This window comes from Homo sapiens, chromosome 16 (genome assembly GCF_000001405.40).
Source record: "Homo sapiens chromosome 16, GRCh38.p14 Primary Assembly".
NCBI lineage: Eukaryota > Metazoa > Chordata > Mammalia > Primates > Hominidae > Homo > Homo sapiens.
In genome coordinates this window covers 9,191,517-9,207,176 of record NC_000016.10, presented here as the reverse complement: position 1 = coordinate 9,207,176, position 15,660 = coordinate 9,191,517, and the positions used below count along the sequence as shown (strand labels likewise).

At 46.0% G+C, this 15,660-nt stretch overlaps 1 annotated feature.

Annotated features, from left to right (window-relative positions):
* Nucleotides 1,163–1,691: an enhancer, noted in NCBI's record as "NANOG hESC enhancer chr16:9299343-9299871 (GRCh37/hg19 assembly coordinates)". NCBI's record gives its function as "activates a minimal SCP1, AML or CMV promoter by ChIP-STARR-seq in naive H9 embryonic stem cells {active_cell/tissue: H9 hESC(naive)}" and the evidence as "EXISTENCE:reporter gene assay evidence [ECO:0000049][PMID:30033119]".

The following is a 15,660-nucleotide window of genomic DNA, read 5'->3' as shown; positions in this document are numbered from 1 at the left end:
CAAAAATAAATAAATAAATACATACATACATACATACATACATACAAAATAAAAATGAGTGCATATTCTCCCTCCACAAAGCAAAACATCTTGTTAGGACATAGATTTGTTTGGGTTGTCTATTGCCAAGTGGCCAACTATTCCAAAACTTAATGGCTTAATACAACAGTGCTTTATTTTACTCACAAATTTATAGGTTGAGTAGGGCTCAGTGAAAACAGCTCATCTCCATTCGAGGTGGCACGCACTGGGGTAGCTAGATGGAGAACTAAATCATAACTCGTATGGCTGACAAGTTGGTGCTGTCTATCAGCTGGGACCTCAGCCAGGGCTATGGGCTGGGGACCTCAGTCTTCCTCACATGGGCCTCTCCACAGGACATTTGGGCTTCCTCACAGCATGATGGCTGGCTTCCAAGATGGAGCACAAGGCAGATGTGCATGGCATTTTTATAAGCTAGGCTCAGAAGTCACATACCATCACTTCTACGTTCAGTTGGTCAAGACAGTCCCCAAGACCCATCCAGATTCACAGGGAGGGCACAAAAATTACAACTCAATGGGGATGCCAAGGCCATAGCACCGCATGTGCGACAGGAGACCTTACTGTAATCATCTATGGAAAATACAATCTGCCACAATTTGCACATGGCTTTTCATAACCTCCAACTAATTGTTTTAGAATTTCTCATTATTTCCCACACCCTCTGAGAGGAGCCAATGCCAGAAAGAAGCAACATCCAGGTGACCCAGAATATTGGATGCACAATGGTGAACTTCCGGATGTCTCAGGGAATATCAAAGGCTATGGCAAAGCCCCAGGCAAGATAAGATCAAAAGCCTTTCCTTCTGCCTTTTTTGTTTTGTGGGTTGCCATAGTGATGGCAAGGGTAAAATTTGAGAGGCAATTGTAGACATTATGATGATAGTGGCTCTTACAAAATCTGCACCTAAGTTCACCAACACACACACACACACACACAAACGCACACACACATGGGATCAGGGCATGTAGAACCGAGTATTGCAAGGACTGGTATCCAAAAAAAATGAATTAAGTTTTCTAAAATTCTGCTGGTTGTAATGCGTCTGTCTTTTTAGCTGATCTTGACACCCCAAAGACACAAAGCTACTAGGATGGTAGGCTCCCTGGGAATTCTTCTCTGCTCCTTCAAATAAAGCTGTGTTCTGCCTCTCAGCTTCCATAACCAGCTTGTTCTTATCCTTGTCACAGCCTATATTGGTCTGCACTCTAATCAGCTATGCACCTGTCTGTCTCCTTCATGGGATGGAGATGACTTGAGAAAAGGGACCCCCATCACGTAGCACAATGCCTAGTCACACAGCAGGTGCTCAACAGATGTTGGGAAACTGACTTAACCATCTCTATCTCTTTCTTCCCGCAGTGCATTTGTCAACTTAGCATCTTCATTGTTTTGGATCCTTGAGGGACATTGAACTGCTGTGAAGGGAGTGAGTGCTGTGGTACACATGCTAATTCAACTTTGCCCTATTGTTGGACAGTGGAATGATTTCCTTTTTTTCCCATTGTAAATAATGCTATGATGAGACACGGATGAATAAAACCTTTTCTGCATTTCAGATTATTCCCTAAGGCTCACTTCCAAGTTTGGAAACTACTGGATGAAAGGATAGAGACATACTGAAGGCTCTTGATTCAAGCCAGAAAACTGTTCTTCATAAAGACAGCAATTTGCATTCTGTAGCTGCATTTTAACATGACAATGATACTAATAGTAATAATATCAGTAATAATAACAGCAATGTAATATAGTACTCACCAAGTACCATATATCCTTCTAAGTTCTTGATATTAATTATCTCAGTTAATCCTCTTAACAGTCCTATAAATAAAGCATGATTATTATCTCCATTTATAGACAGGGAAACTGAGGGACAAAAATTGTCCTTGCCCAGAGACACACAACCAAGATGTCAGACCAAGCTACAAACCCAAAAAGCCCTAAGACAGAAGCATGAGAGCCTCATCGTCTTCCTTCCTCACGATGGTTAAAGAGAAAGCAGGTCAGACATCCCTTCCATAACTCATATAACGCCATTAAGCAATCTTCCATCTTCCATTTCTGCAAGGCCAGTTGGGTATCCCCAGTGAATGTTGACCCTGAGCCTTAGGTTACATTCCCTAGAGGCAGAGTCTGAGATGGGAATTGGAGAGTGTGATCTGTTGAGGAAGGGTTCTCAAGAGAAGTGCGAGGGAAGCAGGAAGGGATCGTGGAAGAAGTGAGCAAGAATATGGCTTCAGGTCAAGTTCACCCGGCCTGATCCTGGTAGGGGTTCTGCAGCACTAATCAAATGACACCGGCTGAGCACCATGTCTCATGTCTGTAATCCCAGCAATTTGGGAAACCATGGTAGAAGGATTGCTTAAGGCTAGGAGTTTGAGATCAGCCTAGGCAACATAGTGAAACCCTCCCTATCTCTACAAAAAAAAGAAAAAATAGAGAAAAAAAGAAATTGCTCACCTATAGTCCTAGCTACTCAGGAGTCTGAGGCAGGAGAATCACTTGAGCCCAGGAGCTGGAGGCTGCAGTGAGCTATGATGCACACCATTGCACTGCAGCCTGGGCAATAGAGCAAGATCCTGTCTCTAAAAAAAAACAAACAAAAACAATGACAGGGACCTCCCCAGTTTGACTCAGAGGTCCAACCTTTATAACTAGGGTGTTAGTCATTGGCTGAGTGCTCTCCCTGCATATGAAGGAGTATGACTTCCCAAGGTGAGGTGGCTCCTGTCAGGAAAGGGCAGTTCCCTGGAGACAATTCCCTGGACAGCGGTGAGCTCTTAGCAGCCAACATGCACAGCACCTTGAAGATGGATTTGCCAGCTGATGAAGGGGAGCCAGGCAGGGCACCAGCAGAATCTACGGTGCCTTCCATGCTTCCTACATAAACCAACAGCCTAAACGCAATCATCCCAAATGGTTTTTCTTCCCCTCTCTGAGTTGCACCATAGACATATTGCTAAATGAGACTTCCCTATAAGTGAAATGGGAAAGTTCCCTGACTTCCGTCATAGGACGTGCAACAGGGGTGTGGCTTGTCTGTTCGGCCGCCATGCATGCTCAAACCCCTTACGGGAAGGGGAGCAGACAGATGGGCAGGTGCAGGAGCCAGGGCAAACACCCCTGGGCTACTGCCCCATGGCAGCGTCCAGGGGTCAGTGTCTGCGACTCCCGAAGCCCAAGAGGGCATGTGTTACAGTGCACTCTTTTAGCTTGCTGCCCACAGATGACTTAATTGTTAACCAGCTCAGTGGACCCTCTGCCTTTTTCCAAGGGTAGAAGGCCAATGTAACAGCTTTCTGTATCCCGAGCTCTTGTCTGGCATCCAGGAAAAATGAGGTCTTGAAGGATGAATACGGGGGTTTTATTGAGTGGTGGAGGTGACTCTCAGTGGGATGAATGAGGAGCTGGAAAGGGGATGGAGAGGGAAGATGATTGCCCCCTGGAGTTTGGCCGTCCAGTAGCTGATCTCCTCTCTGACCATCCCCAGCTGAACTGTCAGTGTTCAGACTCCTTCTCTTCTCTCTGCTGTGCCATTCTACAATTCTGCTCTTCTGTTTGTCTCCTCGTGGAGCCTGGGTTATATATGGGTATAGGATGGGGGGCATGGTGGGCCAAAAGGCAACTTTTGGGCACAAAAACAGGAATACCTATTCTCATTTATGACCACGGGTTTACAGGCTTGAGGGTGGGGCCTTTCCCAGGGAACCACCCTCTTCTAACCAGTATTTCCCTGTCTCCTGTCTTTATCATAAGTGTCCCTCACTGGGCTCAGAGAAAATGCTGATGGCACAAGAGTGGAACTGTGAGACAGTTCCAGGGAAACAGAGACAAAGTGAATGCATGTTGTAATGCTTCATCTTTGGTGAACTTCACTGTGGGTCAGAAAAGAAGGAATTCTTCAGGAGGATGTTTGGAAGGTAGCCCTCCAGAAGCAAGTCCAAGGAGGAGACAGGAGAAGGAATAATGGCTCCCCACGGTCCTGTCCCAAGCCACATTCCCCATCTACTAGTTCCTCGCTGGAATTTAAGGAAACAAGGATGAATTAGAGACAGGCCCAGCTCTGACAGAGCTCAGTGCATAATGAAGAACACAGAGGCACAAGCAACCTCAATGCAGATTCACAGGGTGCCAGGAGCACAGAGGAGGGGCAGCCACTGCAGTGGGACAGGGAAGGTCAACAAGGGCTGCAGAAGACCTTGACATCATACCTGAGTCCTGATATTTGGTGGGCCAATGGAAATTACCTGGGAATAGCAAGGGGCAGAAAGGACATTCCAGACAGAGGAAGCCACACACGCAAAACGCAGGAGGCCTGATCCAGCATGGGGGCTTCCACAAAAGCCCATTTTACAGGAGAGAAAACTGAGGTTCACAGGAGTGAAGCAGCTCCCCACAAAGGCACATTAATAATGATAAAAGTAAAACTTCAGCCAAATTAAATGTAAAGGAGTTTAATTCAGCAATGAATGATCTGCGAACCGGGCAGCCCCCAGAACTGGAACAGATTCTCAGAGACTCCAGCGCGGCCACGTGGTGGAAGATTTATAGACAAAAAAAAAATGAAAAAGGGAAATGACGTACAGAAATCAACAGTGAGGTACAGAAACAGCTGGATTGGTTACAGGTTGGCATTTGCCTTATTTAAACACAGTTTGAGCATTTAACAGTCTATGAGTGGTTGAAGTTCGGCCACTGGGATTGGCCAAGACTCAGCTATTGTTACAGGCACATACTCCTAAATGAGCTTTTCAATCTTGTCTATTAAGCTAGGTTACAGGTGGTGCACAAGGACTCAAACGTAGAAGTATGAAGTCCTTCTCAGGCCATATGTAGTTTGCTTTAACAATAATAAGTGGCTGAGCACAGTGGCTCACACCTGTAATCCCAGCACTTTGGGAGGCTGAAGTGAGTGGATCATCAGGTCAGGAGTTCGAGACCAGCCTAACACAGTAAAACCCCTTTCTACTAAAAATACAAAAATTAGCCAGGCGTGGTGGCAGGCGCCTATAATCCCAGCTACTCAGGAGGCTGAGGCAGGAGAATTGCTTGAACTCAGGAGGCAGACGGTGCAGTGAGCTGAGATGGTGCCACTGCACTACAGCCTGGGCAACAGAGCAAGACTCTGTCTCAAAAATAAATAAATAAATAAATAAATGGCAGAATTGGAGTCTGCTCTCTATACTTCAGCAGAAATCGCCCATGAGTGGAAGAAACATTTTCAAAGGAGTGATAAACCATCCCACACCTACCATCTAGCAAACAAGATGGATGCTGAAGGGAGTCACAGAACATAGAAATGTAATGTCATCCTCCACCCCAATCTCTCTGTCTCTCTCAGCTCCACCCCATCTTTCTCTCTCTCTCTCTCTCTCTCCCCTTCTCTCATTATTGGATTAATCCTTAGGTCTCCTTGATGCCATTCATGGCAGACAGCAGCTGTACACCTTTTCCTTCATTTCAGGAAACTCAGACATGACACTTCTGAAGATCCCAGGTTGTCTCACTTTTATGCCCTAGAGACAGATTCAGGCCCTACCATGGCCACGAAAGTCAGAAGTGTATAAAATTCCAGTTAGACAGGAGGAATGAGCTTTTGACATCTGTTGCACAAAAGTTTAAGTATGTGAAGAGACGGCTATGTCTATTAGCTTGACTTAATCATTCCACAATGTATACATATATCAAAACATCACACTGTTCCTCCAAAATATCTACAATTATTATTTCTCCATTTTTTATTTATTATGTTTTGAGATGAAGTCTCACTCTGTCACCCAGGTTGGAGTGCACTGGCGCGATCTCAGCTTACTACAACCCCCACCTCCCAGGTTCAGGCGATTCTCCTGCCTTGGCCCACCGAGTAGCTAGGATTACAGGCACCTGCCACCACATGTGACTAATTTTTGTATTTTTAATAGAGACGAGGTTTTACCATGTTGGCCAGGCTGGTCTCAAAGTCCTGACCTCAGGTGATCCACCCTCCTCAGCCTCCCGAAGTGCTGAGATTACAGGTGGGAGCCACGGCACCCAGGCTATTTGTACATTTTTTTAAAATTGTGTTTAAAGGAAAGGAAAGAAAGTCATAGTATTCCTAGGGAGAACTTCCTAAATAGGCAGAGGAATTCAAATAAGAGGGGAAGGTCTACCTGCAGATAGTGGATCATTCAAACTGATACAGCTTTAAGATAATTGTCAAATCCCTGGAGGAAACAGGGATTTTACTCCAGGGATTTGTTTTACTCCAGTAAAACAGGGAGGGGGTGTTGGGAAGGGAGAAGATTCCTAAGAGTTTGTCTTCCCAGATCACACCAGTATTTTCCAAAGTGTAGAAAATGTGCTCGTGGCATATAAAATTATTCGAGTTGAACACAGCATTGCAAAACATCTCATCACACAGTCAAACGGTCACTCTCTGTCTATTGGTTTTCAACCCTCCCAATTAATGCAAAGAGAAAGTCTCCCTGGATGAGTTTGTCTTTAAGAACTGGAACCCTTCCTAATCCTTTTTAACTTACAGAGCCCTTGCCTCTGGCTAAGAGTCTTCCCCAGCAAATGTACCCAAGTGGAATGGAATACCATTGTCTCCTTTGTCACTGTCTTCACTTTGCTGTTTTTACATGTAAGCTTTTATTTTTCAATTGGCAATTCATTTTTTAACTTTTTAATATTTATATAATGGTTGAAAGGTTTGCAAATCTGTCTTTAATTCCATTCTAGTTGTTTGCCTTTTTTTTTTGAGACGGAGTCTCACACTCTCTCCCAGGCTGGAATGCAGTGGTGCGATCTCAGCTCACTGCAACCTCCGCTTCCCAGGTTCAAACTATTCTCCTGCCTCAGCCTCCCTAGTAGCTGGGATTACAGGTGCCCGCCACCACAACCAGCTAATTTTTTGTATTTTTTTAGTAGAGACAGGGTTTCACTATGTTGGCCAGGCTGGTCCCAAATACCTGACCTCATGATCCACCCGCCTCGGCCTCCAAAGTGCTGGGATTAAAAGTATGAGCCATCATGCCCAGAATGTTTGCCCATTTTTACATATATTTTACAATTGGAAGAAAGGAAAGAAAGAGGAAAAGAAGGAAGAAGGAGGAAGGAAGGAAGGAGAAGGGGAAGGGGAAGGGAAGGGAAAGGGAGGGAGGGAAGGAAGGAGAGAAGGAAGGAAAATGAAGGAAGGAGGGAGGGAGGGAAGGAAGGAAGGAAGGAAGGAAGGAAGGAAGGAAGGAAGGAAGGAAGGACTTATGTAGAAAAAAACCTAAGGGATGTAAACCATCCAACGCTTTTTTAAAAACACTGTATTGATTTTTATGCTTAGCGTTAGCATTTATTTCCTCTTTATGACATTGGGTTTCCATTTATAGTAGTGACAAAGTTTCCTGTTTAAAATAGTCTATTAATTTAATTTTAAAATGAGTTGGCTTTATATCAAGTAAAAAAACAGAACATGGATATAGATACAGCAGAAATCACACAGGTGGTAAGCGAATGACTCAAGTTTGGGTAACACTGGGAAGCTTGATTCTTTTTTTAATATTTGGCTTCCTGAAGTTTAACTCTTGGAAATGTGAGGCACATCCGCTCCTGGGGCAGAGGCAGGAAGGCTCAAAGGCGGCGCCGGTGGGAGGGAGCAGAGGGTGTCAGGATGTGCTCTCCCAGACATCCCAGGAAGTTCCCAGCATCTTGGATCCAGCTGCTGGCTTGTCAAGGTCCTTGCTCTGGGTTAATAAGCTGGGAACAGACGGAGAGCTAGTGTATAGATCGAGATGGCGGATTTTCAAGGAGGCAATTTAATGAGCAGTGGTTTGAATTGAGACCAATTTTAATGTCTTTTCTGTTTTCCACCAACTGTCACAGAAATTGCCACAAATGATGTCTTAATTCTGTTCCCTAGCGGGTCTCTGATATGGCAAAGGATGAATTTTAAATTGTTTGATCAGAATTAGCAACATTAGTCACTGCCAATAGCCTTTTAATTTCCACAGAGCTGCCAAGGGGAGCAAAAATAGAATTGTGAGGAGAGTTCCAGCAGGCAGATGTGCTCCTGGCAGAAGAGGCCTCGTGGTCTGCTGGAGGTGTCTTCAGGTGCTCTGGGGTTGGTGGAGCAAGGCCAGGGAGGTGGTCGGGGGGCAAGCGGTTTTAGCCCCAGCTTTCCACTTCCTCTGGGTGGCAAGGGTTTGCTGTCCCAAGAAACTGTGGATCCCGGCCGGGCACGGTAGCTCACACCTGTAATCCCAGCACTTTGGGAGGCCGAGGCAGGTGGATCACCTGAGGTCAGGAGTTCGAGACCAGCCTGGCCAACACAGTGAAACCCAGTCTCTACTAAAAATACAAAAATTAGCTGGGCGTGGTAGTAGGCACCTGTAATCCCAGCTACTTGGGAGGCTGAGGCAGGAGAATCACTTGAACCGGGGAGGTGGAGGTTGTAGTAAGCCAAGATTGTGCCACTGCACTCCAGCCTGGGTGACAGAGCAAGACCCCATCTCAAAAAAAAAAAAGGAAGGAAGGAAGGAAGGAAGGAAGGAAGGAAGGAAGGAAGGAAGGAGGGAAGGAAGGAAGGAAGAAAGGAACGAACTGTGGATTACGAGGGTGGTACATCGTGGACCTGCCACTCCTGCGTGAAGATCAAATTCCCCTCCTCCTGTCTCTGGCTACAACTTCCCAGGTCCCCAGGGCATGTGCCGTTTGCTCCTAATGGCAGTGCTGCATTCCCACCCAGCAGCCAGACTGACCTTTTCATTCCTAAAACAGTCCAGGCACTGTGGCTCATGCCTGTCATCCCAGCACTTTGGGAGACCAAGGAGGGAGGATGGCTTGAGCCATGGAGTTCAAGACTAGCCTGGATAAGATAGCAAGACCCTCATCCCTACAAAAAAAAAAAAAATTTAAACTTACCCAGGCATGGTGGCTCATGTCTGAAATTTTAGCACTTTGGGAGGCTGAGGCAGGAGAGTCACTTGAGGCCAGGAATTAGAGGCCAGCCTGGACAACATAGTGAGACCCTATCTCTATAAATTTTTTGTTAATTAACTGAGCATAGTGGCGGGCACCTATTGTCCCAGCTAGTTGAGAGGCTGAGGCAGGAAGATTACTTGAGCCCAGGAGTTCGAGGCTGCAGTGAGCTATAGTCACGCCACTGTACTCCAGCATGGGTGACAGAGAGAGACCCTGTGTCATTAAAAAAAAAAAAAAAAAAATCCTAAAACAGGCAACAATACTCCTCTGCTTAAAACTCTCCAAGTGAGACTATTATTCTAAGTGAAGTAACTCAGGAAAGGAAAACCAAACATCATATGTTCTCACTCATAAGTGGGAGCTAAGCCATGAGGATGTAAAGATATAAGAATGACATAATCAACTTTGGGGACTCAGGGGAAAGGATGGGAAGCAGGTGAGGGATAAAAGACTATAAAATGGGTGCAGTATATACTGCTTGGGTGATGAGTGCACCAAAGTCTCACAGATCACCACTAAAGAACTTACTCATGTAACCAAACACCACCTGTTCCCCTAAAATCTATGGAAATTTAAAACATAATAATAATAAATTAAATTAAACTCTCTAAGGGGCTTTTTCTTGCACTTAGACAAAAACTAAATTTTTTGCCATGGCCCACAAGCCCTGACCTGCTCACTGTACTCTGGCCTTCTTGCTCCTGGGGGAATGTCCCACTGTACTTGGGATAAAAACCTAAAATCTTGGCCGGGCGCAGTGGCTCACGCCTATAATCCCAGCACTTCGGGAGGCCAAGGTGGGTGGATGACTTGAGGTCAGGAGTTTGAGACCAGCCTGGCCAACAGGGTGAAACCCTGTCTCTAATAAAAATACAAAAATTAGCCAGGCGTGGTGTCGGGCGCCTATAATCCCAGCTACTTAGGAGGCTGAGGCAGGAGAATCACTTGCACCAGGGAGGCAGAGGCTGCAGTGAGCCGAGACTGTGCCATTGTAGAGCCAGACTCCATCTCAAAAAAAAAAAAAAAAATCTGAAATTTTTACAGTGAGCAACAAGGCACTGCATGAGTGTTCACTGCCTTCTTCTCCCGCCTTGTCTTACATCCTGTTCTCCCTCACTCACTGCTTTTATCCATCCCTAGAACAAGCTCATCTCTTTCCAGCCCTGGGGCCTTTGCTCATGCTGTCTCCCCATCCCTGCCCTTCCCTACAATAATCCCGTGACTGACTACTTCTCAACCTGCGTGTTTCCCCTTAAATCTTCTCTCATGAGAGAGATCTCCCTGACCACATTCGCAAAGGTAGGTTCCCACCCCTGTAGATCCTAACACAACGCATGGTATGTCCTAAAAGCACTTATGGTCAGATATAGTGGCTCATGCCTATAATCTCAGCACTTTGGAAAGCCAAGGTGGGAGGATCACTTGGGATCAGGAGTTCAAGACCAGCCTGGACAACATAGCAAGACGCCATCTCTACAAAAAATAATTTAGGCCAGGTGTGGTGGCACGCATCTGTAATCTCAACACTTCAGGAGGCCAAGGAGGGAGGATCACTTGAGCCCAGGAGTTTGAGGCCAGCCTGGCCAACATTGGGAGACTCCATTTCTACAAAAAAAAAAAAAAATTAGCTGGATGTGGTGGTGCATGCTGTGGTCTCAGGTACTCAGGAGGCTGAGGCTTGCGGAGCTCTTGAAGCCAAGAGTTTGAGGCCACAATGAGATGATCACGCCACTGCACTCTAGCCTGGGCAACAGAGCAAGACCCTGTCTCAAAAAAAAAAAACATCATTTATCACAGCTTATTCTTCTGTATTTGTTTGTTTGGGTTTTGTTTTGTTTTGTTTTGTGTTTTTGCTTGTTTTTCAAGACAGGGTCTCCCTCTGTCGCCTAGGCTGGAATGCAGTGGCACAATCTCGGCTCACTGCAACATTCACCTGCCAGGTTCAAGTGCTTCTCCCACCTCAGCCTCCCAAGTAGCTGGGATTACAGGCATGCACCATCACCCCTCATTAATTTTTGTAATTTTTTTTACTAGAGACAGCGTTTCACCAAGTTGTCTAGGCTGGTCTCAAACTCCTGAGCTCAAGTGATCTGCCCACCTCAGCCTCCCAAACTGCTGGGATTACAGGCATGGGCCACTGCGCCTGGCCTGTTTGCTTGTTTTTGCCTGTCTCCCATGTTAGGGCATAAGCTATTTGATGCAGGGCTTTGTCTCACCACTGTATTCCCTGGCACCTGGCCCATCACAGGCCATTTCACACATGGGGTCTTACTAAGTCCTCCCCACACCCTAAGAGCTGGGTGGTCTCATTCCCACACTACAGACGAGAAGCCTGAGGCTCACAGAGGTTAAGGAAGTGACCCAGCACCCATGGTGGAACCAGCATTCAAACTCACATCTCTTTTTCTCCCATAGCCCAAACCTTTACCTAAGGTCGTCTTACAAAAGGCAAGACATTCCTGTATTAGGTCAGACTCAACGCATCTTCAACCAAGAAAGTATGTCCACTTCTTACCTCTCTCCCTCCTGTCATTTGCAAAGTCAAAAGTAATTAAGTACCGGCTCTTGGAGGTAGCTTCTGGGTACACAGCATTTGCCTCTGTGAAAGGGGAGGCAGCTATTAGAAATGTCATCATTCTCCCTTTCCCAGAAAGAGCAACCTCAGCAAAGCGTGGCTTTCTTCAGTGGCAGCTGCTGACAGTTATAAGCCATGGCAGTTTCCAACGCTCACAAAAATAAATGGAAGCATTAGTCTTGGGCCCCATCAGAGGGGAGCCTGCTGCCTCTAGAGCCATCAGGCGCAGGAAAGCTGAGATGGGGCAATGGCCCTGGGTCCCTGCCGGGCAGCAGGCAGACATCCAAAGATACGGTCCCCTCCTCAGCCCCTAACAGAGCCCATCAATCAGGAGGGCTCAACCCATTCCCCAGGCCCTCACCCCAAGACCCATCGCTTTTTTTTAACAGGGTCTCACTGTGTCATCGAGCCTGGAGTGAGGTGGTGCAACCTCAGCCCACTGCAGCCTCTGCCTCCCAGGTTCAAGAGATTCTCCTATCTCAGCCTCCCCAGTAGCTGAGATTATAGGTATGCACCAACATGCCCAGCTAATTTTTGTATTTTCAGTAGAGACGGGGTTTCACCATGTTGTCCGGGCTGGTCTCAAACTCCTGGCCTCAAGTGATTCACCTGCCACGGCCTCCCAAAGTGCTGGGATTACGGGCGTGAGCCACTACACCTGGTCAGATCTACCACTTCCCACCTTCCCAGATAATCTGCTGATTTATTTGGCTTATGATCTGGTGCGCCCGTTCTAGAATGTGAGCTCCACAGGGGGAGAGGTTTTTGTCTATTTGCTCACCAGTATTTCTATCTGTGAGGCATAGTAAGCACCTCAGTAAATATTTTCTGAATGAAGGGAATGAATGGTCCTGGAGTCACACCGGTACACCCAAGTTGGAGAGTATCCATTCAGAAATATCCTTCTTATTTCCACCCAGTGGGCAGGTTAAAAGAGGGTGTCACTCTCTGAGCATAGCTTTTCCAGCACCAGTGGCAAGATGCCAGGTGCTGGTAAGGTGACATAGTTAGTAGGTATGAGACTGCTTAGCTCAAATCCCCACTGCCTATAGGCTGTACTACTCTGAGCAAGTCACTCACCCTCTCTGAGCCTGGATTTCCTCACCTGTAAAATGGTTGTGGCAGGCAGAATCATTCCTCCCCACAAAGGTGTTGTATTAGTCCAGTCTCACACTACTATAAAAGAACTAACTGAGACTGGGTAATTTATGAAGAAAAGAGCTTTAATTGACTCATAGTTCCACAGGCTTAACAGAAGGCATGACTGGGAGGCCTCAGGAAACTTACAATCATGGTGGAAGGTGAAGGGGAAGCAAGCACCTTTTTCACATCCCAGCAGGAGAGAGAGACAGTGAGCAAATTGGGAAATGCCACACACTTTTAACCCATTGGATCTCGTGAGAACTCACTCACTATCATGAGAACAGCAAGGGGGAAGTCCACTCGTATGATCCAATCACCTCCCACCAGGCCCCTCCTCCAACACATGTGGATTACAATTCGAGATGAGATTTGGGTGGGGACACAGAGCCAAACTATATCAGGGGTCCATATCCTAATCCCCAGAACCTGTGTATATGTCAGTTTACACACCAAATGAGAGTTTGCAGATGTGATTAAGTTATGGATCTTAAGATAGAGACATTATCCTGGATTAGCCAGGTGACCCAATCAAATCACAAGAGGCCTTATAAGAGAAAGAGAGAGGTGAGAGGGTAAGAAAAGGAAACATGCAGATGGAGGAAGGGAGGTCAGACTTAGAGAAAGATCTGAAAATGCAATACTGCTGGCTTTGGAGAGGGAGGAAGGGGCCATAAACCAAGGAACGCAGGTGACCTCTAGAAGCTGGAAAAGGCAAGGAAACAGATTCTCCTCTAGAGCCTCCAGAGGGAACGCAGCCCTGCTGAAATCTTGATTTTAGCCCATTAAGACCACTTCAGACTCTTGACCTCCAGAACGATAAGAAAATAAATTAGCCCAGCACAGTGGCTGATATCTGTAATCCCAGCACTTTGGGAGGCTGAGGTAGGAGGATGGTTTGAGCCCAGGAGTTCAAGACCAGCCTGGGCAACATGATGAGATCCTATCTCTACAAAAAAAAAAATGTTTAAAATTAGCTGGGTGTGGTGGTGTGCCCTGTAGTCCTGCCTACTCAGGAGGCTAGGATGGGAGGATCGCTTGAGGCTGGGAGTTAGTTCAAGGCTGCAGTGAGCAGTGATGATGCCACTGCACTCCAGCCTGTGTCACAGAGCGAGACCCTCTCTCAAAACAAAGAAAGAAAGAAAGAAAGAAAGAAAGAAAGAAAGAAAGAAAGAAAGAAAGAAAGAAAGAAAGAGACAGAAAGAAAGAAAGAAAGAAAGAAAGAAAGAAAGAAAGAAAGAGAGAGAAAAGGAAAGAAGAAAGGAAGAAAGGAAAAAAATATGTTTTGTTTTAGGCCACTAAGTTTGTAATGATTTGTCATCACAGCCCACAGGAAACTAAGACAATGCCATAAATAACAGTACCTGCCTCATGAGGTTGTTGGAGAAATTAAATGAAATATCACCACACAGCACCTGACATACAGTAGGTGCTCAGACTGACTTAGTTGTGTCACGTCAACGCCCTGCCTTCTCAGCCTTTCTTCTGCGACCCACTAAGGATGATGCCATCCTCCAAGAATGCTGGGACTAACCTTACCTCCATCTGCTACCCACATGAGTGCCTTTGTCCTGCAGTTAATAAACACCAGGGTTTTCAAGTCAAACCAGTTGGAGTTAAGGTCCTGCTCTGCCTTTCCTCCTTGGGCAATTGTGGGTAAGTTTCTTGACATTTCTAGGCTTCGTCTTCATCCTTTGTATAATGAGACCAACCACACCTCCCACGAAGTATCACTGTGAGGCCAGGAGGCGATAACACATAGGAAACACTCAGCATCCCACAAGTGGTACTGCTACTATTACTGTCATCAATAACGGCAAAGCTCACAGCTGCGCAACAGTGGAAATGGCTGTCCTAGAAGGTAGTGAGCTCCCTGCCACTAGAGGAAACCAAGCTACATTCTGAAGACTGTTCACCCTTAGGGACCCATGCATTGGATGGTGGGGATCCAGGCTGATATAAAATGTCAGAGCAGAACAGGTACAGGAAGGGGGAGTATCTTCTGAATCACTGATTCCAACCCTTCATTTTATAGAGAGGGAAACTGAGGCCCAGAGCGAAGAAGTCGAGTTCCCTCCAAGATCCCTGCCCCCCACCACCCTTCTGAACTGCAGGCAGCCTTTGTTCCTGTGCATCTTCTCCACATCTGCACCCAGAGCCAACTGTTTCCTATTAATATTAATGCAGCGGAAAATTAAACCAGACTCGCAATGCCGCTTTCCAGTCGATAACCTCTGGGCTGTGCAAGGGGCAGGCACCTTTACCATCAAGTGCCACTGGATTAGAAGTTATTATTAATGTCACAAGGGATGACTGACTGGTCTGAAGACGAGCAAGGAAAAACACAGCAGGGAAGGCACAGATTACATATGGGGAAGCTCATGAGCCGCAGCTGAGAGGGCTATGCTTTCTCTTGATAGAGCCCTCTGCATCCCAGCTCCTCACTCCAAGAACTCCCCTCGCTAAAATCCAGGAAGAATCACCATATCATTGCTATCATCATCATCTTCATTATCATCACCATAATTATCAACACTATATCATTATCATCATCACCATTATCACTGTCATCATCATCACTACCATCAGCAGCAGCAGCTTTATCATCATCCCCATCATTACCACCATAAACATCTCCATCACCATTATACCTACCATCTTCATATCATTATTACCATCACCATCATCATCATCATCACAACCATGACCATATAGTCACCATCACTGCCATATCATGATCACCCTCATTATCACCATCATCACCATATCACCAACACCATAATTGTCACTATCATCACCATCATCAGATATCATCACCATCACCATCATTATTGCCACCATCACCATGTCATCATCAACATCATCAACAATATCACTATCATCACCATACCATTATCATTCTCATCATCACTATCATCATATCACCACCATCATCACCACCATTATCATA